The following is a 27,902-nucleotide window of genomic DNA, read 5'->3' on the forward strand; positions in this document are numbered from 1 at the left end:
GTATACTTCCACTGAAAAAACAAAGTAAAAATCCAAGGATACTTGGCACGCCATCCTTAACTTGGCCCCCTTCTTACCTGCCTCATCCCCTAAGCTTTCTGCTGTAATGTGGCAAAACCTCATAGCTTCTGTGCCTCACTGACAGGTGGCCTGTTTTACTGCCCCATGCTATGCTCATGCTGTGGTCTCCCCCTCAATCCCATTCTTACCTATTCAATCTTACTCATCCTTGGTGTTGTTTGAAACTCGATGTTCTCCTCTTGATGAGGTCTCCCTAAATGCTTTACATTTGTCTATCTAAGCAGGTAACACATTTTATAGAAGTTTTGTGTTATTGTATCTAACTTCCCAAGGAGGATTTACGCCTCTGGGTATTAGGACAGCCTTATCTATCTATCATCTGGTTATTCATTCATTTATTTATCATCTTATTTCTTTTGGAATTCTCAGCATTAGGCCAGACACTGATCAAGAAATGTTTGATAGAGTAAAACCAAGGAGAGTCAATGAAAATAAATGGAAGGCTTTCAATCAATTTCTTCCCTTTTAACCAGCCCCTCTTGCCAACAACTACTCATCTACCAACAGTAATCAAAATGTCAACAACAACAACAAAACCAAACCTGCCTTCTAAATGTTATAAATGCATAATGCACACAATCTTCACGGCCTTATGGGGTGGATATTATCATCTTGATTTTACAGATGAGGAAACTGAGCCAAAGCAAGATGAAATAATTTATTCAAGCACCCATGGTTTGTAAGGGGCAGAGTTAGGATCTGAACCTACACATTCTGGTTCTGAAAGCTGGGCTCTGACCTCCCATTCAGCACTGCCTCCCTGAAACTCATCACCATGCCTTGAAATCCCTGGGAGGGCTCGGGGTTAACCTCTCCTGGCTCTGCTCCACCGTGCTCTGTCTGGGGCAAGTTGCTAGTAACTGCTGCATTCCCATAGGGAGACAAGGTTAAAGAAAGAGGAAGAAAGGCAGATAAATAATTTACCACCTGAGCACTGAGAGGAGATTTCTTGGATTAAGAGTCAGGAAACTCAAGACATGATTTAGACAATAAGGTAATAAATGATACAATTATTATCCAATTGGCTATAGGCTCATTCCGGTTCAGGAGTCTTTGGTTCACCTGATGTGGCTCCTGCTTCTGTCCTTCCAACACAATCTCTCTGTAAACAGAGGCAGATTTCCTCCCCTGCCCCCCACCTCTATCAAAATAAGTTTGCTTGTAAAGCCTGAACTCTATTTTTTATTAAAGGAGTGAACCTCTCAAGTTATTAAAGGCATATGTTGATATGTCTTTGTGGGATTGGGAAGGGAGTGGGGAAAAGAGAGCAATGAAGAGATGCTAGGCAGGGCACTCACCTCAGTGAGATTCCTGGGGAAATGTAGTTAAGCCAGCAACAGGTTTGTTGAGGACATCAGATAACTGGTCACTCAAATTCCAAAACAAAACAGAAACCTCATTTTTCTCACTCTCTGGAATAGGACTTATGATTTTCTCTTTGCATGGTCTGTTGGGGACATGGTATTGAGTGGGGAGTGGGAGTGTGGGCTCTGGGTCCAGATGGTCTGGCTGTACTGCTGTACTGTACAGAATTCTGGCTGTACTGCTCCCTGGCCGTGGGAGCTAGGATAGGTTTCTTAATCTCCCTGTACTTCAGTTTCCTCATCTTTAAGGCGGGGGTAATAATAGCACCTCCTTCAGGTTATTGTGATGAAAATGTTTGTAAAACACTTAGAACAGTGCCTGGCATATTGGGAGTACTTGGTAAATACTAACTGCAAAATATGAGTCTCAGCAAAATGTATGAGATCCAGAGCTCATCCCATCTCTGATGAGGACTGCAGTGCCAAGATTCTGTAGGTTATTTTTTCCTGCTATCAGAGGTTACATGGCAGAGAGAAGGGTCTCACTTGATGGGTTAGAAGTCAGGGTGAAAGCACTGTTAAACCTAAAGAGTCCTCATTTTCATCATTTGGAAATATATCTAGTCATTCCATCCATATATGTAATAGTTCATTTACTGAACACAGGTAGTTATTTACATTCTTCCTCACAGATCCTGTGCTGCTTAGCAGCTAAGTGTAGAGAAATGAGTAAGAAAGGTCCATGTTGAAATCATTACATTTTAGGGAAGAAAACAGACATGTAGAATTAACATGAATATAATGAGTTCCCAAGAATATCTGGGTTCAAACCCTGGCTCCAACTATTGAGGAGTTGAGTAACCTTAGGTTTATAACTTCTCTATATCTCAGATTTTTTTCTTTAAAATACAAATAATACCCAGATACAGTGGTTTACACCTATAATCCTAGCACTTTAGGAGGCTGAGGTGGGCACATTGCTTAAGCCCAGGAGTTCAATACCAGCCTAGGCAATATGACAAAACCCTATCTCCACAAAAATTACAAAAAAAAAAAAATTACTCAGGCATGGTGACACATGCCTGTAGTCCCAGCTACTCAAGAGGCTGAGGTAGCAGGATTGTTTGAGCCTGGGAGGCAGAGGTTGCAGTGAGTCAAGATCGCATCACCGCATTCCAGCCTCGGCAACAGAGTGAGACCCTGTCTCAAAAAAAAAAAAAACTGCAAATAATAACAACAACAACATCTACTTCATAAGGTTTTGATAAAGCATAAATGAGAAAATTCACATAAGATGCTTAATACAGAGCTTGATGCATAATATACACTCAATTATAGCTTAAAAGTGCTATGATAGATAAAAGAAAAGTGATATAAAGTGATAGAAAACATGACAGCTTTAAAAGAAACAGTGGTATGAATAAAGAGCTATGCGAGCAAAAGGGGTGGGAAGGCATCCCACTATGAGGTGGGGGAAATGAATCTGAGTAGCAAAGGCTGCAGAGAGGAAGGGATATTGGAACTGGTTTTAAAAATGATTAAGAGTCAACCAGGAGAGAAAGGAAGGGCGTTCCAAGGAGAGAAAACAGCAGAAGCAAAGGCACAGAGGAAAGAAAGGAGATGGCATGTTCAAATAAGGGAAATTCATTGAGGCAGCAAGGGAGAGAGGGAAGGGTACATCAGGCCAGGCCATAAGGGAAGCATTTCTTGACAAAATACGAGTTTAGACTTTGTCCTGCAGGACAACTTTTCCCAAGACCTGTTCTGTAAAGCATTCACCGTGGAAGATGTAAGGCGCCGCTTCATGAACAAAACCAGCACACCAGTAAATTTGGGAAGTGCTGGGTTGAGCTAAGGTGAGCTCTTTACTCGCAGACTCTTGCACACCTTTAACAGACTAAGGGGTCTCTCCCCATGAGAAGGAGAAGAGTATAGAACATTTTTTGGAAAAGTTTGTCCCACAACCTCGATGGTGAGTTCTGATAAATCCTGTCAAGCAAATGCTACTACAGGTAAGAGAGTAGAGGTTGCATGTTCAGAGCACCATTTAAGAGATTAATTAAACAATGTGAAGAATGGAGGTTTGAAGGATGGATTGCAGGTGTCAAGACTGAAGGTAGGAGACCAGAATAGCAGAATAGAGGCCAGTGCAGTGGTGCTTTTGACAGATGCTGAATGTCCAGGGCACTGCCAGTAGGAAGAGGGGAGGTGGCTTAGAGCAGCAGATAATAGCAGGGACTCTGCAGCCACACCTTCTGGGTTTGAACCCAAACCCTAGCTTTGCTCCCTACTAGTTAACGACCGTGGACAAATGGCTTCACCTCTCCATGCCTCAGTCTCCTCCTCTGTACAATGAGAGTAATGTGCTCATGGGAGACATTATTTATAAAGCGCTTAGAATAGTGCCTGGTACATATTAACACTGCAAGAGCATTTGGTTAATTAAATGGAGAGGATAGGGTAGAATTCCCAGAGGGATTTTGTTGGAGCAAGTAAGAAAGGAGACCATGTACTGTACAAAGCATGTCTCTGCTCTCTTGTGTCATGCTGGTTTCTTTGATCTTTTGTATGATTCCCTTTCCCCGTATTCCTTCCTTGTTTTGTTGACAGACCAAAGCCGTCATATTGCTTGACAAAGAAGCAAACTGGGGCTTTATATGAGCATTTAACTTGTAGGAATGCAAATAAAACAAAATAAGATAATTTAAAAATAATAAGTACGTGTTATATTAAAATTATACATTAATATAAAATATGTATCATAAAATGGCATACATATAAAAATGTAAGTAGTGTGAGCCATTAATTGTGCCCACCATTGCACTCAGGGAGCTATAATGTTGATGTTGGGGGAGGATGGGGATGGCGGTCTCCATTCCTGTATGCTGCTGAGAGAGACAGCAACTTGACAAGCTGCAAAGTTTAAAGGTAAATATTTTTCTTATGACATGTTGGTCTGGTGCTCGATTGGAGAAATAGAGATCTGGTTCTGGGAGACATTCTGGCTGTGTTAGTGGAGGCAACCTTATAAAGATTTTCAAAGGTGATTCTGATTGTGTTATTTTTGTGTAATACACTTAAGAACATCACTGCCATATAAGCTGCAACTCTCTTAGAAGGTAGGACTGAGATTATGACCTGGGTCTTCCTGACTCTAAAGTCCTTGCTTTTTCTGCCACGTAGACCCTTGTAGACAAGTGCTTGTGATTCATCGGCCCATTACTTCAACACCTCTTTATTCGATGTCTGTAATATGCCAGAAACATTGCAAGATGCTGTGGATAAAGTGGAGAACAAGTCAGGCACAGTTTCTGTTATCATGGGGCTTCCAGCCTCTGGAGAAGGTGTGGTACAGAGATGAACTGATGCAGGGCAGGATGGGGAGACAGACTTGCCCACTCATGTGGAACTTACAGCATTCTCTAATCCACTCAGTAAACCGGGACCTAAGTTAGGATCCTAGGTGTCATAGTCAAGTCAAATAAAAACCAGGGCTAACTTTTGGAATGTGGCAGCTCAGCACAGTTTAGCCCAGTTTTCCTCTACCCTGGTTGCCCATTAGTGTCATCTAGGAGTGTATATGCTCGTTCCTGATAAACGTAATTTAAAAATCTCTGTTTAAGCTAAAGACTAAGAGACTTAGAGATGAACCAAAGACTGGGAAGATGCTCTACCTCCTCACACATCTGCCCATAAACTAGAACAACAACAACAACAAAAAGCCCTATATTTTAGAGCTGGAGCTGTGTATGGAATGGGACTTTGGCATACTGGCAATGGAAGTGGACTGTCAGGGGTGGAATTCTAGCTCAGCTACTTGCCAGTTATGTGGCCTTGGATGAGTCATTTAACCCCCTAAGGCCTCGGTTTTCCGTTAAGAGGATTAAATAAGTGAATAGATTTAAACCTCTTAAAAGAGAAAATAATATATAACAAGCACTTAATACATGTTAGCTCTTATTGTTTTTCTCATTATGAGAAAATTCCTCAGATCAACACAAAGCTTTGAGGAGTGGTCCTTAAACTCTTCTTTCTCTGGGCTCATGGTGTGTTCATTCTTCTGGGTTTCAGGTCTTCTCCTATTGTTTGGGTCTCCTGTTGTTCTTGGTTTCTAAATTATCACATTCTGTATACCAATGTCTCTTTTAATTCACGCTTTACTTGTTATTTGGCTTTGGGTATTAATGTAAATGTAAAATGGCTTCAAATTCTTTTCTACTCATCTTATTGAGATGTAGAATCTGATTTCTATTCTTTTGACTCTGGGCTAAGCTTAGCCTTTTGCTAGAGCAAAAGAATATAGTAGTGTCTTACTTAGTGTCTTTGCTTAGCATCTTGCTTGAGCAAAAATATACAGTAGAAATAATGTCCTAAAATGGAGATGCGAGCTGATAAGAAGTCTTGGAGTTTCTGCCTGGGCATCGAGGATGCACTCTGGGGAAGCCAATTTCCTTGAAAGAAGTCTAACCACCCTGAGGCCATGATGCTAGAAAAAGCACATGGAGGGACCACATGGCAAGCTCTTGAGACTGCATGAGGAAAGATTGGCCTGGCAGCTCCCAAACACTCCCACTCTCGACCATTCTCTCAAACTGATACTCCAGGCATCAAGTAGAGCAGGATGAGTCATCCCTGCCCAGCCTGGCCTCAACTGCAGATTCATGAGCAAGAGAAAGTAGTAAGATTGAGGGAAGTTTATTTGGTAGCAATAGATAATGGAAGAAGAATGCATAAACTGAGTCCAGGAAAGGCTTATTGGTAGAGTAGAGTCATATGTCAAACAGCACATGTATGTCATCATGAAAAAATGGTTTATATTCCATGAAGCTGGGTAAAGCTGGCTTCAGCAATTCAGCTGTCTGCCTGTATGTTGCTGATCTAACTAGAGCTGAACCTCAATATTTCTCCCATTGCTGTAAAGATGCTTTTGTGTTTGCTAAAGCTAAAAACATATTCTGGAAGAGGGATGCTGAGTATAACTGGGAGGCAGAGCTGATTCACAAAGCTAAGGCTAAAAAAGGAAATGATTCATATGTGAAGGATGCAAAATTCCATTCAACAAAACTTTATTGAGCATCTATGATGTACAGCCTAGGTACCAGAGATGCACAGGTGAAATTCCCATGGGTGCATGGGTGGAGGGGTGGGACCAATAATTCCCTCCCATTCTGTTAAGAGCTATCCCAGAGGTTAAGTCTAGAGTTCAGTGGAGTGCAAGAGAGCATATATTCAACTCTACCTCAAGAGCTCAGGAACAAATTCATGGGGGAGGTGGTGCTAATGTTAAGTATTGAAGAATGAATAGGAGTTTACCAGGAAGCCATAGGAGAGGCAGCTACAGCACAGTAATTAAATACATGCAATCTGGGAGTACCCAATTTCTGGCTCTATCACCATTGACTTTATAGACTAGGATAAGTTACTTAACCTCTTTGAGCCTCAGTTTCATTTTTTATAATAATATTAACAATTGTAACTTATAAGAGTTGTTCTGAGGGTCAAACACATTAAAATATGTAAAGCAATAAAAATAGAGTCCAGTACATTGCAAACATGCAGTCAATGTTGGCTCTTACAGAGAAAATAACATGTGCAAAGGTATAAGGGCAAGAAACAGCATGGTGAATGACTAGCAGTTCACAGTGACTAGCACAAGGAGTTGATGGGGACACAGGGATGGAGTAAGCTGGCAAGGAGTTAGAGTGGTCAACAGGGACCAGATTATGAAAAACCTTATATGCAATGTGTGGATTCTACCTTCCAGGGCAGTTATACTTCACCACGATGAATTCCTAGGAGGAAATAGCAGAGTCACTGCTTGGGCAGTGTATTAGTCTGTTTTCACATGGCTATAAAGAAATTCCTGAGACTGGGAAATTTATGAAGAAAAGGGGTTTATTTGATTCCCAGTTCTGCAGGCTGTACAGGAAGCATGACTAGGATGCCTCAGGAAACTTACAATCATGGCTGAAGGACTAAGGGGAACCAAGCACCTTCACATAGCAGAGCGGGAGAGAGAGAGCCAAGTGGGAGGTGCTACACATGTTTTGTTTGTTTGTTTGTTTGAGAGGGAGTCTCGCTCTGTCGCCCAGGCTGGAGTGCAATGGCACAATCTCAGCTCACTAAAACCTCTAACTCCCAAGTTCAAGCAATTCTCCTGCCTCAGCCTCCCTCGTAGCTGGGATTACAGGCACCTGCCACCACACCTGGCTAATTTTTTTGTATTTTTAGTAGAGATGGGGTTTCACCATGTTGGGCAGGCTGGTCTTGAAATCCTGACCCTAGGTGATCTGCCCACCTCAGCCTCCCAAAGTGCTGGGATTACAGGCATGACCCACCATGCCCAGCCAGGTGCTACACACTTTCAAACAACCAGATCTTATGAGAATTCTATCATGAGACAGCACTAGGTGGATGGTGCTGGTGCTAAACCATTAGAAACTGCCCCCATGATCTAATCACCTCTCACCAGCACCCGCTCCAACACTCGGGATCATCATTCAACATGAGATTTCTGTGGGGACACAGCGCCAAATCATATCAGGCAGTATATTTTTTTCAAAGCACTTTTGATATCGTAAATTCCCATTGTTTTGATAATGCACACTAGCTAACATAAAGACAAGCAAATTCTTCTTGATGCTTGTTCTCTGTCTTCAGGGAACTGACGATCTGCCATTTCAGAAAAAGGAGAGAGGAGACCGCCCTATGGAGCATATTCAAACTGTGGCAGGCTTGAGATTTTAAAAAGCAGGTCATATGAGGAGCTGGGTATTACGATAAAAGACTAAGAACCCTGTAATGGGAAATAGGAAGTCACTGAAGGGTTGCAATCAGATGAGAATAAGGATTAGCCTTGCATTTCAGAAGCATCACTTTTGTGGCAGTTTGAAGGGAGCATAGGAATGGCAGAAGACGCTGGTCAGTGCTGGAAGAAAATAGATGAATAGACGAATGCTGCAATGACCCAGGCAAGGGATTATTTGGGCCTTATTTAAGGAAGTGGTAATGGAGATGGAAAGGAGGGGGCACAGCCTTTATGGCAGAATAGGTGGATAAAGTAGGTAATAAAAGCTTCCAAGTAGCTGAATACTCTTGGATTCTTCAGTCCCTGGCAGGGCCCTTTGTTCCTCACTGCAAGTGTCTCCCTGTCTTGTCTCTCAGACCAGACTGAACAGATTCATTCTTTGAACTCAGATTTCTTGAGTAAGTACCTACAATGTGGCAGGCCCTGTGTGAGGCAAGAAAAGTGAAGATTGTGATTATTCTCTCCTAGAATCATCTTATTGTATATAGTCAAAAGACTACACATAATCTTGACCCATTAACTTGTGGGATTTTTCAGCTGAGAGCCAAAACCACAAGAAGGTCATTTCTTAAAACCCATAATCAGGCGGATTTCCCCTAGCTGGTTTTGCAACCAGGTGCACACCTCATTTCCGAATCCTGCCTAACTTGAGAACACTGCCTTTTCTGTAAAGCAGAGATGTGATTGGGGAGGAGGATGGCCAAAACCATTCTCTCTTCATACGCAGATCCCCGGGGATTAGACCCATCATCATATTATGACTTGGAGGCTTCTGACAGGAAAAGCCAAGACATAAATCCCCTCCATTGTAAAACCATGAGAGAAGTAAGCCAGCCTACGTTTGGAGCCTCATTCACAAAATCTCTCTGATCTCCAGGAGCTTCACTCAGCATCTTGATGCCTGTGGTTCCCCACCTATAAAACCATGGGTACAGCCTCCTGGCTGTGGCTTCTATTCCCAGGGGAGGAGAAAGATGCCGCCACCATCTCTAGCACTGAGCTCATTAGGAGAGGGTGCTTCTTGGATATATGTCTTCTGGTGAAATACTTGTTTCAAAATTTTTACTTTTACAAAGATGAAGATGATGATATAATTAAACATCATGTCTTTTGTCTACACAGGCCAAGGGTAACAAGGAGGTTGGGCAGAAAGTGCAAAAGGAAAACACAGTAATGACATTGAGTGTCTCTTCATGAAAAGAAGAGGCTTGGGGTCTGAGTTCCTGGCAGGGCCTGGGAATCTGAGCTAGGCAAGGATTTGGGATGGGAAAAGTGAATCCAGGGGAAACATCATTTGCTTTTTGCCTCTTCCACTTCATGGAACTGAATGGCTATCTAAGGAGAGACGTCTTATGGACAAACCAAAATCAATATACTACCAGACTGTCCTTACCATGGGTCATTTGGGTAGGAATATAATGAGTGGGAGATTCTACATGCTGACCACGGGAGGCAGAGTAGGAGAATGGTTAGGAATACCAGAATTTGAAGAGAGAATGGGAAGCTCAGATACACTTTCTGACCTAAAGAACATGGTGACAAAGGCTTTGATCATGTCTAGTAAAGCAGATATAGAAGTACTGACTTGATTTGCAAAGATGCCAGGATTTAATTCTAGATGCCCCACCTGGCTGGGTAATCAAGGAACTGGAGATCAGGATTTATCTTCCCATTTCACAGATCACAAAACTGAGGCTCAGGAAGCTTAAATAAATCACCCAAGTTCATACATCTAGTGAATAACAGAGCCAGGATTAAATTCAGGACATGTGACTCTAAATATAACATCCTTTCCATTACACCAAATGTTTTACAAATGTCTGAAGAGAAAGGAGAATGGTGAGCTCCCAGATTAAAAGACAAATATGAACCAACTGAACAAACCAGAGTGACAGTAAATGTAAAGGGGCTAGAGCCAGGCAGGCAGTAAAGATGTAGAGGAGGATTACAGAAATGCATACAGATGTAGGAGTTTGGGTAAGGGGTCTGGATTCAGACGCAGGATCCACCTCAGAGAGAAGTCCCAGGACCAACAGGTGAGCGAGCACTTGCCTGTCAGCCAGGGAATTCAGGTTGTTCTCTGAAAGGCACTTACCACCTTGGCTTCTTCAGGGAAATATGCAGGAATGGCTATGTAATTTGAGGATCCCAGTGCAAAATGAAAGGGCCTCTTGTCCAAGAAGCAGGAAAAAAAGCATTGTTAAATATATTAAACTGGCTAGGTATAGTTGTTCACACTTGTAATCCCAGCATTTTGGGAGGCCAAGGCAGGCTGATTGCTTGAGCCCAGGAGTGTGAGACCAGCCTGGGCAACAAGGCAAACCACATCTCTACAAAAAAAAATACAAAAATAGCTGGGTGTGGTGGCATGTGCCTCTAGTCCCAGCTACTCGGGAGGCTGAGGCAGGAGGATCACTTGAGCCCTGGAGGCAGAGGTTGCAGTGAGCCGAGATTGAACCACTGCACTTCAGCCTGCATGAGAAAGAGAGACCCCATCCAAAAAAAAAAAAAAAAAAAAAAAAAAGCATCACAAAATGTACTAAACTGTAACTCTTTTTTCTTTTTTCTGTCTTATGTTCTCCCTCTCAATCTGTCATGGTACTTTTTGTTTGCTATTTAATGTTGTGCTCCTCTAAGCATGGAAATTCCCACCAAGTGGGTGCAGATACTCACAGGCATCTCACTGTACACCCTGTTTTTTTCTCTGTCAGGAAGCCTAGCAGGTCATTTATTCAAGTATGCTTCCTAGCAAGCTGCACTGGGACTCTAGGATTTGTGGTGGGAATGAGGGTGAAGGTGTCTTCTGTATTCTTGCTGTGTCTCAGAATGGACTGATTTTTCTCTACTTTCCAACAGCTATTGGGAAGCATCGAACATCCCCACATACACATGCATGTTTGCTAATGCTCTTTCAAAGTTACTAGAGGATTAATATCACTGGCTGAGAAATCTTAATTGGTCTTAAATAGCATACTTCAGGGTTCAGAGAGGATTTTGTTAATGATTTCATTCTAAAGGTAGAGTTCACCATTGCTTAACCTTGCTGTAAAGGTAATTGCTCAGCCCAAACTATTCTTCTAAGAGGGTGAATTTATCTGTACCCATTTCTGAAGAGACTATCAATAAAAGAGAGATTTCCTTTATACTGCTATGCCCCATTTTTTTTCCTCAGATGCATTCCCTCTTCCCTCCATGGGAATGTTGTCACAGGAAATCAACTCATTGGGTTTCTCATTTGACATCTGAGATGATTTTTATCTTTATATTATTTCTCTTGAAGAAGAAACACCTTTTTGAAAGGTTCTATTTATGCCATGAAATATAAGTGTAACCTTTTTAGTTCCTTTTCGGAAAAAAACCGTTCAAGCAGGTGTAACTTCAGCAGTGTCAGCCTTAAACATTTGAGAAAGCTGCAGTTCAGAAAGGTGTGTTCTCCAAATCTTCTTACAACAGGGTAATCATAGAAAGACTACTCTTAAACTCTCAAAATCTAAATAATACAGTACCCAAATTCTTGACACAAATAAACAAGTAAAGATTTTTTTATCACTTGATAGTTTTTTTGAAAGTTTGCCATTCAAGCAACTATCTTCTCACCCATCTCTCCCCCAAACCCAGCCTCCCCATTCTATCTGCTCAATTTTTTAAATTTAAGCTATGATCCACAGCATGGAGGCAAGGTTTTTTTTGCTTGTTTATTTGAGACAGGGTCTCCTTCTGTCTCCCAGGCTGGAATGGAGTGGCATAATCATGGTCTCTCCAGCCTCAACCTCCTGGGATCAAGTGAGCCTCCTGCCTCAGCCTCCCAAGTTACTAGGACGATAGGTGCATGCCACCATACCTAGCTAATTTTTTAAATTTTTTGTAGAGAAGGAGTCTCCCTATGTTTCCCAGGCTGGTCCCAACTTCCTGAGCTCAAGTGATCCTCCCGCCTTGGCTTCCCAAATTGCTGGGATTACAGGTGTGAGCCACCATGACTGGTCTGAAACAGTTTTTTGGCCAATAATTCTTTGAGACTCCTGTGACATCCCAGTCAGGCCTCACCAATATTATAGCCTCTATAAATTCATTACATACAAATAAATTTGGGGTTGTATAAGTGTTATGAACTGAATTGTGTCCCCTCAAAATCGATGTTGAAGTCCTTACCCTAGTACCTCAAAATGTGACTATATTTGGAGATAGGGGCTTTATAGGTATAATTAGGATAAAATGAGGTCATTAGGGTGGGCCCTAATTCAATATGTCTATTGTCCTTATAATAAGAGGCGATTAGGACACAGATACACAGGGAAGAATATAAAACAATTCTTGCAACCCAAAAAGTTCTTTCATGTCCCTTTGCAGTCAGTCTCTACTCCCTATTTACAAGCAAAAACTGATTTGCTTTCTGTTACAAGAGATTAATTTTGCTAGTTCTAAAGTTGCATGTGAGTAGCATCATACAATATGCACTCCTTTGTGCCAAATTTCTGTTGTTCAACATAATTTTTTTATTTTCTATCTTCTGTAGAGATGGGGTTTCACCATGTTGCCCAGGCTGGTCTTGAACCCTGGGCTCAAGTGATCCACCTGCCTTGGCTTCCCAAAGTGCTGGGATTACAGGTGTGAGACGCTGTGCCTGGCCAGCGTAATGTTTTTGAGAGTAATCCATGTTATGCATATACGGTTTGTTCCTTTTTATCACTAAATTGCATTCCATTATTTAAATAACCACAATTTGTTTATTCATTTGCCTGTTGATGGACATTTAGTTTATTTCCAGTTTTTGTCTGTAAGTAAAGCTGTTATGATCATTAGTGTAAAAGTCTTTGTATGGATATCTGTTTTTATTTCTCTTGGATAAATACCTAGGAGTAGAATTGCTGGGTTGTATGGTAAGCGTATTCTTAATTTGTTAAAAAAAAAGAAAGAAAAAAACCTAGCAAACTTTTTTTCAAGCATTTTACTTATGCACGAATTTTTATGTTCTTAAATCATGGACTTACCATTTTACTTTTCCACCAATAATGAATGAGAGTTCAAGTCATTCTATATCCTTGCTAACCCTAATATTATGGGTTTTTAGATATTTTAGCCATTCAGATGGGTATATAGTAGTCTCTCACTGTGGTTTGAATTTCACTGTTCCCTGATGGACTAATGATGTTAAGCATCTTCTCATGTGCTTACTGAATATTTGTGTGTATTCCTTGGAGAAATGTCTGGTCAAATATTTTGCCCATTTTTAATTGGGTTATTTATCATTGAGTTATCAATATTCTTTATATATTCTGAATATAAGTCTCTTGTCTGATACATGTATTAACTTTTTTTTCTCGTCCATGGCTTCTCTTTTCCTCTTGCTGATTTTGGATTTTTGGATGAGCAGAAGATTTTACTTTTAATGATGTCCATATTTATTAATTTTTCCATTCTAAGAAATTTCAAAGTTGAAAACATTTCCTCCTATGTTTTATTCAAAAAGTTTCACAGTTTTAGTTTTTACATTTAAGTCTATGATTAATTTGAAGTTATTTTCTGTGTATGGTGTGAGGTAAGAGTCCTCACACCATTGGGTTTGCTTTGCATGTGCATGTGGCTATTCAATTGTTTCACCATCATTAGTCATAAAAGCTTTTCCCACTGAAAAGTCCCTTGGCACTTTGTCAACAATTTATTGACCATATTTGTGTTGTTCTATTTCTGAATTTCTGTTGTTCCATTTTTCTATATGTCTATTCTTATGTCAATACCACACTGTCCTGATTACTGTTGCTTTACAGTAATTAAGTAAGACTTCAGGTCCAATTTTGTTCTTCTATTTCAAAATTGCTTTTGCTATCCTAGGTCCTTTACATTTTCATATACATTTTAAAATCAGCATATCCATTTCCCAAAACCTTGCTAGTATTTTGGTTAAATTTGTGTTAAATCTATGATTCAATTTGGAGAGAATGAGCATTTTAATAATAATGAATTATTCCAACACATAAACACATGTTTTTTCTCCAATTATTTTGGTCTTTAATTTCTCAGCAATGTATTTCTGTTTTCATTGTACATGTCTTCTACATATTTTGTTAAATTTATCTAGAAGCATTTAATATTTGTTGATACTACTGTACATACCATCTAAAATTTTTATTGCCTAATATTTTTTGTTAGTATATAGAATTATAGTTGAATTTTATATATTGATATTATTTCCTAAGACCTCATTAAAACCCTCATTAGTCCTAGCAGCTCTGTTGTAGATTTTTAGGATTTTCTATGCACACAATCATGTTGTCTGTGAATAAAGGCAGTTTTGTTTTACTACTTTTTCCCCCAAGCTGTAAACTCTTTATTTCTTTTTCTTTTCTTATTGCACATGCTAAGACTTCCAGTACACTGTTGAATAGAAATGGTGAGAACATCCTTGCTTTATTCCTGCTCTGAATGTGAAATAATTTACTGTTTCAATATTAATTTTGATGTTAGCCTAATATTTTTATATATTCAAATAGGTGTTGGATTTTGTTGAATGCTTTTTTGTCTATTGAGATAATCAAATGGCTTCTTCTCTTTAGTTCACTAATGTGATGAATAAATTTGATTGATTTTCAAATGTAAAACCAAATTTGAATTTTTAAGATAAACCCAGCTTCTGTTGGTAGTTCCAGACTAGCCTTGTGCTGCCCCGACAGAGGTACCAGCAACAGCTAAGTGGAGCCTCTTCCTCAGAAGTCTGAGCACCAGCTCTACAGGGCCTTTCCTCTGAGACCCTGTTGTCTACAGCTCAGAAGGTCTGAGGATCAACTACTCATTGTCAATTTTCTGAGCAACTAGTTTCTGCTAATTTCACCTCCTTGTTTTCTCTTCCTAGCCCTAGGGCCCATCACGCTTTCATAAAATCATGGCTTCTCATAGACGGAGATACTTTAGAGATTATTTAGGGTAACCTTCCTGCCAATGCATGAATCCTTGCTACGATATCTCTGTTAAATTGTCATCCATCCTTAGCTTGAGACCCCTTGAAACAAGAAACCCAGTACATCCTGCTTTCTCAAACAAAAGAAGTTAAGAAAATAAAGCAGATTAAGTGGAGGTGCTGTTACAGTTGGAGATGTAGTTTTCCTGAGCAGTGCTGAAGGTCATTATTTATAGGTCAATCTCTTTCAATGGTTTTCCTCTTTTTTTTTTAACCTTATAAACTCCTATGGATATATTCTCAGGATTCCATGGGTTCTATAGGGAAATTAGAAAAAAATGTTTATTTCCATAGCGTTCTTAAGTAAAAGCAATATGACATATTCTAGATGATTTCCGTGGTCACGGAGTACTTACAACAGAATACTACCACGTATTTTCAACCATGTATTTTAAATGTCCATGTTCACTTTATGTCTATGTTATAGTGTATTCAAAAGAATAGTGTATGTTAAGAATAAGAATACTGGATTCATGTCATCTGGTTTGGAATCCCAAGTCAGCAATTTACTGTATGTGTGACTTTGGGCAAATTACTTTGTCTTTCTATGCCTCCATTTCCTCATCTGTAAAATGAAGAAATTAAAATATCTTATTTATAGGAATGTTAGGAGGATTAAATAAATTAATATATTGAAACAATGCTTAGTTCATAATAAGTAAATATATAAATGTTTGGTAGTGTCATTAAATAGTACTAATTTAATTATAGCCAGCTATTAACAAAGGCTTGCAGACTTAATATGTACATTAATCATTATGTACCATGTGAAGGGTAAACACCACCACAGCACATCATACAAAGGATTAGTAGTACTTGTAATAGCAAAAAGTGGTGAGAGAATGAAGTAATTATATGGCACATAAAATTAGCATACACCACATAAGCATACACCACAACATAAAGAGTGGCCGTTTAGTTTCAGCAAAATAACTTAATTTGTCATATTAATGTTAGTGTTGACTTACATTTTACTACGTTTATAGTTTGCTTATATTTAAACAAATTGTGCTTCTATTTATACATCATTGAGAAGTAGAAGCATGTGGAGTTTATGTTTAGTTTCATATTGTACATATTTAAATAACGTGCTACCAAAAGTAATTTGTCAACATTGGAAGTTCATGAGATCATTTTTCCCTTTAAAGTCGGTCCATACATTTTTCAAATTTGAGCTATATGATATAGTGAGGCCACTTCTTTTCCTAATGAAGCACTATCTCTAGTGGTAATTCTAAATGGGCAAAGCACAAAAGAGGCCATTTATACCAAAGACCAGTGTATTAGTCTGCTTTCGCACTGCTATAAAGAAATACCTGAGACTGGGTAATTTATAAAGAAAAAAGGTTTAATTGACTCACAGTTCCACAGGCTGTACAGGAAATGTGATGGTGGCATCTGCTTGGCATCTGGGGATGTCTCAGGAAACTTACAATCATGGTGGAAGGCAAAGGGAAGCCAGCACTTCACATGGCTGGAGGAGGAGGAAGAGAGAGAGGGAGGAGTTGCCACACACTTTTAAACAACCAGATTTCACTCATTATTGCAATGACAGCACCAAGGGGAAATGGTGTTAAACCACAAGAAACCACCCCATTGATCCAATCACCCCGCATCAGGGCCCATCTCCAGCTTGGGAATTACATTTCAACATGAGATGTGGGTCCAAACACAGATCCAAACCATCAGGGAGGCTCAGCCACCATATTTAAAATCCAAAGTATGAAATTGGGAGAAGGTACATTTTGAAGAGTCTAAGTACCTATGATAAAAGAAAAGTGAGGGCTGGGCGTGGTGGCTCATGCTTGTAATCCCAGCACTTTAGGAGGCCGAGGCAGGAGGATCATGAGGTCAGGAGATCGAGACTATCCTGGCCAACATGATGAAACCCTGTCTCTACTAAAAATATAAAAAATAGTCGGGCATGGTGGCATGTGTCTGTAGTCCCAGCTACTCAGGAGGCTGAGGCAGGAGAATCGCTTGAACCCAGGAGGCGGAGGTTGCAGTGAGCCGAGATCGTGCCACTGCATTCCAGACTGGGCAACAGAGCGAGACTCCATCCAAAAAAAAAAACTGAGGAGGGAGATGTAGATGAGGTAATGCAGAACTAACAAATGTTTGAATGCTTTCAAGTGCCAGGCACCACCTTCTGCATAAGAGTTCTGCAACTTTCAGATGAGGAAAATGTGGTTCAAGGAAGTTAATAACTTGCTTAAGGTTGTACAGCTAGAAAGTAGCAGAGGCGGGGCCCCCACCGGGTTGCCTGGCTCCAGAGCTGATCATTTTGTACTACAGCTTCATTTCTGAAAGCCACAGGTGATTTCTGAGATGAAGATCTATGATTGGAACTCCTGCCCAGACATTCCAGAATGGAAGTCTTTTTGGACTAAGAAGACCAGAAAGGCCCTTCTGAGCATTCCTCGGCTTCCAATGCAAAGAGGGAAGAAGCCTGCCAGCTGGATTACTATTATGGTTAATTTGATGTCAACTAGACTGGGCCATTGGTTCCCCAGATAGCTAGTTAAACATTATCGTGGGTGCATCTGTGAAGGTGTTTCCAGAAGAGATTAATATTTGAAGAGGTGCACTGAGTAGGTCAGATTGCCCTCCCCAGTGTGAATGGCCATCAGGCATCCAATCCACTGAGGGACTGAATAGGATAAAAAGATGGAGGAAGGCTGAATTAACTTTGACTGCTTGAGCTAGGACATCGATCTTCTCCCACCCTCTATACTCCTGGTTCTTAGGCCTTCAGATTCAGTCTGGAATCTATACCATTGATTCTGTGGCTCTCAGGCATATGAACTACATCACTGGCTGCCCTGGGTTTCCAGCTTGCACACAACAGATCATGAAACTTCTGTCTCCTTTATTATATGAGCCAATACCTTATAATAGATAAATACACAAATCTCTCTCTTTAGAGATATATATATATATATCTCTTTATATATTACATGTATATATATGTGTGTGTGTGTGTGTGTGTGTGTGTGTGTATATATATATATATATATATATATATATAATTGGTACTGTGTCTCTGGAGAACCCTGACTAATACAGTTACCTTCTGGCAAAAGCAGCTAGAGAGGGCTGGCTTTCAGTATCCTAACAGCTCCAGATGTAGTTTTAAGCTGGAAGAGCAATTCTACCAGAAGCTTCTTTCTTTTCTTAACCCAATTATGTTAAGGAAGAACCACTGGCCATTTATTTTCATAAGTGGGTTCATGACCTCAAATAATTATAGATCCAAATATGCCTGGGAAACATAGGCTTTCCCTTCTTCGGTTTACATATAATTTTCTGCTAAAGAAGTAGAGGTGACCACGTCTTAGTGCTGAGAGAATCATTTTCTCCCAGAATACAGAAGATGTTACAAAGAAAGCACAGTGCCTCCTTCTCCCTCCACCCAATGTTTCACATTTTTTCTTGTTCTTCTCTACTAGAAAGCTACACACTAAACTTTTCATCCTCAAATGTTCACATGGTAAGTTAGAGTCAAGACACTCCCAGGCCCTCACTTTTCAAAAAGCCCAGTTCCCAAATACAGAGTCCACTTTTGCAAAAATGCTGTCTAGTCTCTTCTCCTTTGCTGCTGCGGCATTCCCTAGGGGCTGTCAGACACTTGAGAGCCTGGTTCCTCCAAGTCTAGGCTCTTCCAGCCTTCCCCTTCTATGCAGGGTAAGGGGCACTAACGTCTCTACCAGTGGCTTCACCCCATTGTTAAGGTTGGATGTGGTTTTTGTGGAGCACAGTTAATATAAACATCTCAAAAATATTGATAGTTTAGGCAAGTTTCCTTCAGTTTTGCAACTCATTTTAGCTTTCATCATGTAAATTTTTAGAATTGTCAAATTTAGAAAAAATTTTATCAAGTTGTTAAATTTGGAAGGTTTTTCCACAGACCAGCTCCTGGCTCTATACATTCCAAACCTTGTTTCTCCACCACTCCCCACATACTGCTGATGCTGAGTGCCACAGGAAACATTTATGTCACGATATGGCCTCAGGCCTTATGCCTTCATTTTACCACACCAGATGAGTCAGCACAGAAGGCAATAGGGTTATTCCTGGAAGCTATCTCTAGACCAGGATAGCTAACTGTAACTCAACCATATAGGGAAGTGACTGTAAACCACATGAAGATCCACCATCAATCTCAAGTTTATTGTGCCCCCAGTTCAACTTGCCCTTAAGGTCCCTAGAATGCCTGTGGCTTTACCAGTTACCAATAATACCAGACATGCAGCGGAGTACGGGAACAGGAACTTTGGAGGGGGACAGAGTGGTCTTGACTGAGTGCAGTTGAGTGTAAAGTATTGCAGATTAACAAGACATATGACCACATAAACACATTCCTAGAGCTCTCCCCAGAGACTTGGAAGGGACTAATGCAAACGAGCCCTGAAGCTTAAGCTCCATTAGTTTCACCCATCTGTCTCTGCCTTGCATTTAGTGTGTATGAACTTCTTACTCTACATGGTCCATTTTTTTGTCAGTGTTCTTTGTGCCTTTAAAGTTGCCAAAATATGTTTTTTATTTTATTTTTTAATTCCTAGGTTTGTGAAATAGATCATTAGTGATTTAATTTTCATTTAAGTAATTAATTCCTGCTATTTAACTTAATACTTATTACAGAGAATTGCCTGTGGGAGAAGTAGCCATTGGAAGGGTCTTGTGCTTCTGACTTTCAATCTGGGACTTAAATTTGAAACTAAGGTTTGTTACCTCTGACCATGACATCTTAATATCCATGGTACATCTTTTATGGTCGGTCAATAATTTAGGCTCATGCACCTCTGTTTTAGCTCCTCAGGAGGATAACTGTCCATCTCTTTGAAGTACTCCTTATGATCCTCTGAAGTAAATTCCATGTAAAACAAGCATAATGCTTCTATTTGAGATCTAGTGATCACAAATGGATTCTCCAAATTTGGTGAAAATTTGGTCACCTGTTTTCATGTGATGTAATTACAAATAGACCAAAAATGCATTTTTTTTTTTTTGAGAGTCTCACTCTGTCACCAGGCTAGAGTGCAGTGGCACAATCTCTGCTCACTGCAACCTCCGCCTCCCAGGTTCAAGTGATTCTCCTGCCTCAGCCTCCCGAGTACCTGGGACTACAGGTGCATGCCACCAAGCCCAGCTAATTTTTTTTGTATTTTTAGTAGAAACGGGGTTCCACCATGTTGGCCAAGATGGTCTTGATCTCTTGACCTCATGATCCGCTGGCCTCAGCCTCCCAAACTGCTGGGATTACAGGCGTGAGCCACCGCCCAAAAATGCACTTTTATTTGTACAATTTTATGCCTTGTATCTTTCCCTAAAGGATTTGAGGTAGTTTATGATTATACATATTTTTTATGTTTTTCTTTTACAAATAAAAAAGTAAAACAGACAATGGAAACTACAACTCAGAGAAAAACAAAAGTTGATGTAGAATGGTTGAAAGAGAAAATTCATACATAAAAATGCAAGCATGATTTTTACCAGACCCCCAAGAGAGGGTTCTTAGATTTCACGCAAGGAAGAATTCAGTGTGAATCTATAAAGTGGAGGCAAGTTTATTAGGAAAGTCAAAAAATAAAAAAATGGCTACTCCATAGGCAGAGCAGCCCTGAGGGCTGCTGGTTGCCCATTTCTATGGTTATTTCTTGATTGCATGCTAAACAAGGGGTGGATTATTCATGCCTCCCTTTTTTAGACCATACAGGGTAGCTTCCTGATGTTGCCATGGCATTTGTAAACTGTCATGGCGCTGGTGGGAGTGTAGCAGTGAGGACAACCAGAGGTCACTCTCAATGCCATTTTGCTTTTGGTGGGTTTTAGCAAGCTTCTTTATTGAAACCTGTTTTATCAGCAAGGTTTTTATAACCTGTATTTTGTGCCAAACTCCTATCTCATCCTGTGACTTAGAATGCCTAACTATCTGGGAATGCAGCCCAGTAGATCTTAGCCTTACTTTATTCAGCTCCTATTCAAGATGGAGTTGCTCTGGTTTAAATGCCTCTGATTATTACCCCCCTCCCTTTTATAGGAGAACGCTTAATCCTAAGGGCTGCAGAGGGACACAGATCCATCTTCTATAACTTCTTCATGCTGAATAGGGGTAATGATATTCCTGCCTAACTATTAGAGTCTCTTGTATTCAGGGAAGAGAGCAGCTCAGTCAGAAAGCATCAGTATGGTGAGGGCCATTCATAACTCTTAAGTTCCAACAAAAGGTAATATCTGGAAGAATAATAAGTATTTAAGAAAACATTTAGTAAGCGTATGCTGCATTCCTACACAAAATGTACAACCACAATACATTCCACAACAGTAAAGCAAAATAAGTAAAATTATCCCAAGTAAATGAAATTAAAAAGCTTTCCGTGAACTGGGCAACTGTTGGAACCAAGCTGATATGGAGTCACTAGCTGATTCCAAAATGAGCCCAGAATTAGAATATTGGTTTAGATTTTTACATTACCCAACCCTCTTGTTACCTCTGAGCAGCAGCCAGAGATTACTGGTTGTTTCACAGAAATAAGCAGGGTTAGTCTAAACTGCAGACAAAAACTAAAAAACAACTGAGACTAGAATCTAATAACAGGTGTAACATAGTTTTTGAAACATAATTTTTCTCTCCCCAGTCTCCCATGTTTACTAAAGACAAATAATGGTAAGACCAATTTGTTTTATTATACTTGGCCTGATTATTTGTATGAAGTGCAGCAAGAATAATTATTTGCCACACAGGCTTCTTTTAATTGGCTTTGATTGAACTTTTGTTCCATAAGGAACCTCAGATAAGACTGTTTTTAAAGCCAGGCCCAGCCATGGGTTTCTACCCTCAAATACCTATATGAGTTGGGTAAATTCCTCTCCTCTTGGGTAAATTAAAGGTAACTTGGGCTCCTGGACCTGTTAGAAAGTGACATTCTTGACTTACCAGATCGGGAACCCTGCACAGGGATTGTGTCGACAAGGTATGAGGTCAGTTTTCCCAAGGGGCTTCTATTGGCTCTACAAGTCAAGTTTGATTCCTTAAAGGGAAGCATACCATTCCAGTCAAGGCCTTGGTAAAATAATCAGTTTCTCCAATTGTGTCCTGTGACAAATGAAAACAGACCCTTATTACACTTATGCAAATAATTATATTGCCATAAGCTAAGAATACTCACAACTAGTTACCAAATTCTGGAGAAATCAGGTGGAGAGAAATACAAATGCTCCAAATTTTGTTTATAGGAGTATATTTTACTCAATTGCTACAAGCTGTAAATAACTAAAAATAAAAGTTTTCTTGACTCTGAAAAACAAAGGATCTGCAACATTTTAAGCAAAAAAACCAAAAAGATTTTATGTAACAATTGTAACTATTAAAAACACATATTAGAAATATAGGAGTTTCTCATAATTTTGGAACACATTTATACAAATAAACCCCAAAGAAAGCCAAGCACCATTTTATATTTGACTATACTTCCTGTATGACTTTTATACCAAATAAGCCAAATGTTATTTTTAGATTAGTATACTATTAATGTTAAATCTTATCCTTAATAAAACTTTGTAGACATATCTACCCAATTTTAATGTTCTTCTTCATAAGCCTTTTATAATCCTTTACAAGTTTTTGTTAAAGAGATCAGTGCTAAGAAAAACCTGTTGTACTTTTATTCCAATTTTCAATTAATGGAAAAAAACTGAATAATACCCCTTTAATTTTAGCCAATATGTCCACACGCAGAATTGCTTTTACAATTAATTTTTCACAAACCTTCCACAACTTGCTTAAACCTTCAGCTTTGTCTTTTTTAACTTAAAGCAATCCTCTTTAAACTAGGCAAAAAAGTCCACATTCCCATGACTTCTTATAATCTTTTACCAAAAACACATTTCATTGTCCTTACACTCCTTGCATATAAAATTGCTTTTCTTTCCCAAAGATTATTTAAGTCACATGGACTAAAAAGCATAACAATTTTTACTTTTCTGACAAAATATGTGATTTAAGCACTTATTATTTTTAAGCCAATCAAATCTCTTTCATATATAAACAATACAAAGACAGAAGGAGATCTAGTACTCGTAAGATATTTCATTTGCCAGTTTCTTAATTGGATTACTGGTTTCAGGGTGGAGCCCTAGGAGGAACAGAGCCAGGAAAGCATGCAGTTTCTACAGCAAGCAGGCCCAGCTGAAAGGCAAAACAGATCCCCCCAATGAAGGGTTCCATATTTATATCAAATCTTGGATCCCAGAAAGAGGGAATCAGCCCATCCCATGGAAGACTTATCTCTCAGTGAGGGGTGGGGACATCTCCATATTTCTAGGTGGCCAAGAACATGCTTCTCTGATCCAAACGTGTGAAAAGTTGAGTATCCCCCATAACTGCTGTTAGCTGTCCCCAAAAGCATATTTCCTACCTAGTTATTACACACCAAAGCTCTCTCACAATGCGAAGTAATTTCTGACACCCCCAAAACTCAAAAACATCAGATAACACAATGCAAAACAGAAGAAAGCCTTAGGATTTTGAAAGGGATCTATCCACTTCTGATTTCTGTGGTTTCATGAGGAAAACAGAGGTTTTTCCCAAAACGGGGTCTGTAGCACCTCCTGTTTTTCCCAGGGTGTCCCACGCTGTTAGAACTTGAATATCCACTTTTCATTAAGCTGACTTTTAACCATAGCACTCTTTTTAAAAAGTCCTTTTAAATTTCTTATTACCCAACTTTAGCCAGGCCAAACAGCCAATATTTCTGTGCTCAGAGAAAGAAAAATTCAAGATGGTTCATGGAGGGGAAGAGAATCATCAAATGGTAAGGGTCAAACAGATATCAAATAGGAAAGGAGTTATTCTCTAAGCCAGGAATTGAACCCAGGCTGCCACTATAAAATGGTGAAGTCTTAACCACTGAGCCACAGCACTGGGCAGTTTCCATTGCCCTTCCCAGGAGCCTACAGCAGCTAATTTTGAGCTTTCAAAGGCCTTTAACTGCTCAAGATAATTTTTAGGGTTACTCACATGAACCCCAAAATTCCTGTCCTCCAGATGGCAGAAATCAAGAGAAAGCACCACCACATGGTTACGAGGTCAAGCTCCCAAGGACATAACTGGCTAGTTAAATGAAGTCTCCAGAAAATGACAGTGAAACGGAGACAGCAACCAAGAAATTGATTCATGTAGCAAAAAGGACAAGGCAGGTTAATACAAAGAGCATAGCAGTTAACATCCCCTGGTGCCAAACCCATTCTTAGCTAAAAGGGACCTTACTGAATGGGGCATCTAACCCCTTAAATCTTAGCAAGGACTCTAACCTTTCTAAGTTGGGCTTCCAACCCAGGTTTGGTCAGGCATCATTGTCTTTTATTAAGAGGGGCCTCTAATCCTGTCTGTTTTAGGAGGGACTCTAACTCCTCTAAGTTGGGCCTCTAACCCAACCCCTTTTACCCCAGTAAATGCACCCCACTTACCCAAAGTCAGCCAATCTGTGTGTGCAGATGATTTTCCTTTGGATCGGGGGTTTCTTCAGTTTTATCTCTTTGGGGTTCATGAGAAAGATGATACAGAAAGGGGTCCCAATCCAGATCCCAAGGGAGGGTTCTTGGCTTTCATACAAGAAAGTATTTGAGGTGAATCCATAAAGTGAAGCCAAGTTTATTAGGAAAGTAGGGGGATAAAAGAATAGGCAGAGCAGCCCTGAGGGCTGTTGGTTGCCCATTTCTATGGTTATTTCTTGATAATATGCTAAACAAGTGGTGGATTATTCATGTCTCCCTTTTTTAGACAATATAGGTTAACTTCCTGATGTTGCCATGGCATTTGTAAACTGTGGGAGCGCTGGTGGGAGTGTAGCAGTGAGGATGACCAGAGGTCACTCTCATTACCATTTTGCTTTTGGTGGGTTTTAGATGGCTTCTTTACTGCAACTTCTTTTGTCAGCAAGGTCTTTATGATCTGTATCTTGTGTCAACTTCCTATCTCATCCTGTGACTTAGAATGCCTAACCATTTGGGAATTCAGTCCTGTAGGTCTTTGCCTTGCTTTACTCAGCTTCTATTCAAGATGGAGTTGCTCTGGTTTAAACACCTCTGACAGTCCTATGTGATATTGGGTTGAGACTCCTCAAACCAGCTGTTCTATATAATTGTTTGTTGGGGGTTGGGGATATTTAGAAAATACTGATTCCTGAGACTTACAGCTGGATAATCCAATTTAGTAGTCATTAGGTGGAACCCAGAATGGATCTCATTCATTGTCTAAATCCCAGAATATCACCTGGTACTTAGTATAACATGCATTAAGTATTTGTTGAAAAAATTAATAAATGAATAAATAAAATGAATGCTTCCTTTCTCTAATAAGTTGGAAATTATTTAAAGACCCGTTCAGTGCCCTGTCCATTTTTATAGTCACTAAAATACTTTCTATAGTTCATTCATTTAAAAAAAATGTATTGAAGGTCTATTATGTGCCAGCCATCTAAGTTCTATAGTAGCAAACAAATCTAATATGGTATTAAACAAAAAATTCTAATGAGGAAATAAGCAATAACTAATTTTTACATATATGTATTTATATTAATACATGACGTTACACAGCAATAGCTCCTTCAATATTGTGAGCACATGTGTGGCTTTTGTATGAATTACAAGAGGAGCCCCATCTCCCAGAAGGATCGTCTCCCTGAAGGATCTTCTACCTAAATTTGTAATTGTGGTGTAACAACAAGTTCTGTGGAATGGCTTCACTGGAGGCCTTAGAACGGTCCCTGAATTTTGTGCCCTTCAATAGTGACTAAAATGCCTTTATAAAACTTTAAATCAGAAGACCATGATGGCAAGCCTTAGAATCCAGAAGCTGTCTTGGAAAATACTCTGTATCTCAAATTAAGCAGTAAGAGCCTTTACTGAGGCCGTCTTTAGAAACAGGATCTCCTCAGGCCCATTTATAGCTCTGAGCCATTCTGCTTCCTACTAAGGGAACTTCTAGGGACAAGGCCACCACTTTCAGCCAAACACTCATGGTCAAAGCACGGTCATTGGCTCCCCAGGAATGTTTCCCTCTCCCCTTCTTTGGCTCTGCTTTAGCATACAAATACTGCTCCAGCATCTCTGTTTTCTGTGGCGCCAGGAAGACTGAGTCCCGTGACTGCAGGGGCTGGTAGGATGAGCACTGCAGGCTGCACGAGGTCGGCCAGGGCCCATTAACCTCCTATTCAAGCTCATTGTTTTACAAGTGATCATCGCCACTTCGCTGCCCAGTCAGAAGCAAGTAGCAGCTTTACGGCCTACTTAAAGAAAATGGCTCAGCACTTAGGCATTTTCTGGTGCCACAGGGTTCAAAGTGAAATTAATTTCCATTACCGCCTATAATAAATCACCTCACCCAACACATGTATGAAATTCCATTCAGTAGACTCAAGTCATTCTGGGGCCACACAGAAGAGCATGCACACTTCAGCTTGCGCGTAATTTCTCTGCTTGGATAGAGCTGATGGGGCCCTGCAAACGATTAGGTTCCAAGAGAGCTGATGGGATGTGAAGCAGTCCTAAAACACACAGATAGGAACCCTGCCTGAGGATACTGGGTTTAGTTAGAGGAGAAGGGGGAGTTCTTTCTTTCTTGGAACACTTTTTGGTGGCCCTTTCCCTCTCTCTCTCTCTGTCCTCTCTGGGGCCTTATCACAGTCATAGATACACAGACGCTTGTGGTAGGGACAGTAGAAGCCCCTCTGATGTCAGAATCTGGATCTGGTTGGAAACTCTTGGAGGTCTTTTGTGGGGAATGTGTGTGGCTAGTCATTCTGAGTCTCAATCATTTTATGAAAGAAACTGCGGAATGATTGTAAGTCCCTCATACAGCCAGAGAATGAAGAAAGTAAATAGCAAGGTACGGCATCACTGAGACAAATCCACAGAAGCCGGAAGGATGGTGAATATGACTCACATTCAGCGAATCATGCCTCAGGAATTTAAGCTACAGAGGCCCAGAATCTTCGAGCTGGAAGAGATCTTACAGCGTGTTGAGTCCAATCCCCATGGGCTAGAGATAGGAAATGAGGAAAACAGAGACATGAGATTATAATAGTAATCGCTACTGTTTATTAGGCCCCCATTCTGTGCCTTCAAGGTACTAATTTGTAACATTTGTATTGATTAAGCCCCATGGCAATTCTAGGAAATTGTCTTTTTTATGTTTTTAAACAGATTTATATTTACAGAGAAATGGAGAAGATAGTGCAGAAAGTTTCCATATACTCCATAACCAGTTTATCTTATTATTAATAGTTCACATTGGTGTAGTACTTTTATTATAATATATGAACCACTATTGTTACCTTATTATTAACTAAAGTTCATGCTTCATTCCAATGATTTCCTTAGCTTTTACCTAATGTCCTTTTTCTATGTCAGGAGCTCATCCAGGTTACCACATTACATTTAGTTGTCATGTTTACCTAAGCTCTTCTGTGACAGTTTCTCAGACTTTCCTTGTTTTTGATAACCTTGACAGTTTTGAAGAGCTCCAATTAGGTATTTTTTTAGAATGCCACTTTATTGGAATTTGTCTGATCTTCTTCTCCATGATTGGACTGGGGTTACAGGCTTTTGGAAGGTGAGGTAGGTATTTTTATCCTCCTTTGCAAATGAGAAAACAAACACTTAGTGAAATAAGGAGAATTAAGTCATGTCACTAATATAAGTAATGAAGTCAGGTTTGGAACCCAAGTCTTTCTGAATCTAGAGATCAAGTTCTTAA

The 27,902-nt window shown here is 39.9% G+C and overlaps 1 long non-coding RNA gene across 1 annotated transcript, besides 6 other annotated features; it reads right to left on the bottom strand.

The window, feature by feature from the left end:
* Positions 8,467 to 8,546: an enhancer, noted in NCBI's record as "active region_4546". NCBI's record gives its function as "activates an Ori minimal core promoter by ATAC-STARR-seq in GM12878 lymphoblastoid cells {active_cell/tissue: GM12878}" and the evidence as "EXISTENCE:reporter gene assay evidence [ECO:0000049][PMID:35858748]".
* Positions 8,947 to 9,226: an enhancer, noted in NCBI's record as "active region_4547". NCBI's record gives its function as "activates an Ori minimal core promoter by ATAC-STARR-seq in GM12878 lymphoblastoid cells {active_cell/tissue: GM12878}" and the evidence as "EXISTENCE:reporter gene assay evidence [ECO:0000049][PMID:35858748]".
* Positions 16,473 to 22,241, bottom strand: LOC124902653 (uncharacterized). The gene is made up of 2 exons (XR_007062634.1): positions 22,083 to 22,241; positions 16,473 to 16,619 (listed from the first exon to the last, which is right to left on the bottom strand). It is a non-coding gene; the product is annotated as an uncharacterized LOC124902653 (long non-coding RNA).
* Positions 26,010 to 26,511: an enhancer, noted in NCBI's record as "OCT4-NANOG-H3K27ac hESC enhancer chr11:27955445-27955946 (GRCh37/hg19 assembly coordinates)". NCBI's record gives its function as "activates a minimal SCP1, AML or CMV promoter by ChIP-STARR-seq in naive H9 embryonic stem cells {active_cell/tissue: H9 hESC(naive)}" and the evidence as "EXISTENCE:reporter gene assay evidence [ECO:0000049][PMID:30033119]".
* Positions 26,010 to 27,385: a biological region, named in NCBI's record as "P300/CBP strongly-dependent group 1 enhancer GRCh37_chr11:27955621-27956820".
* Positions 26,134 to 26,428: a silencer, noted in NCBI's record as "tiled region #8898; K562 Repressive non-DNase unmatched - State 24:Quies". NCBI's record gives its function as "represses a minimal TATA promoter and a strong SV40 promoter by Sharpr-MPRA in K562 cells {active_cell/tissue: K562}" and the evidence as "EXISTENCE:reporter gene assay evidence [ECO:0000049][PMID:27701403]".
* Positions 26,186 to 27,385: an enhancer, noted in NCBI's record as "P300/CBP strongly-dependent group 1 enhancer chr11:27955621-27956820 (GRCh37/hg19 assembly coordinates)". NCBI's record gives its function as "activates an origin of replication core promoter dependent on BRD2, BRD4, P300/CBP, MED14 and CDK7 cofactors, with strong dependence on P300/CBP, by STARR-seq in HCT116 cells {active_cell/tissue: HCT116}" and the evidence as "EXISTENCE:reporter gene assay evidence [ECO:0000049][PMID:35650434]".

This window comes from Homo sapiens, chromosome 11, assembly GCF_000001405.40.
Source record: "Homo sapiens chromosome 11, GRCh38.p14 Primary Assembly".
In the NCBI taxonomy this organism is placed as follows: domain Eukaryota; kingdom Metazoa; phylum Chordata; class Mammalia; order Primates; family Hominidae; genus Homo; species Homo sapiens.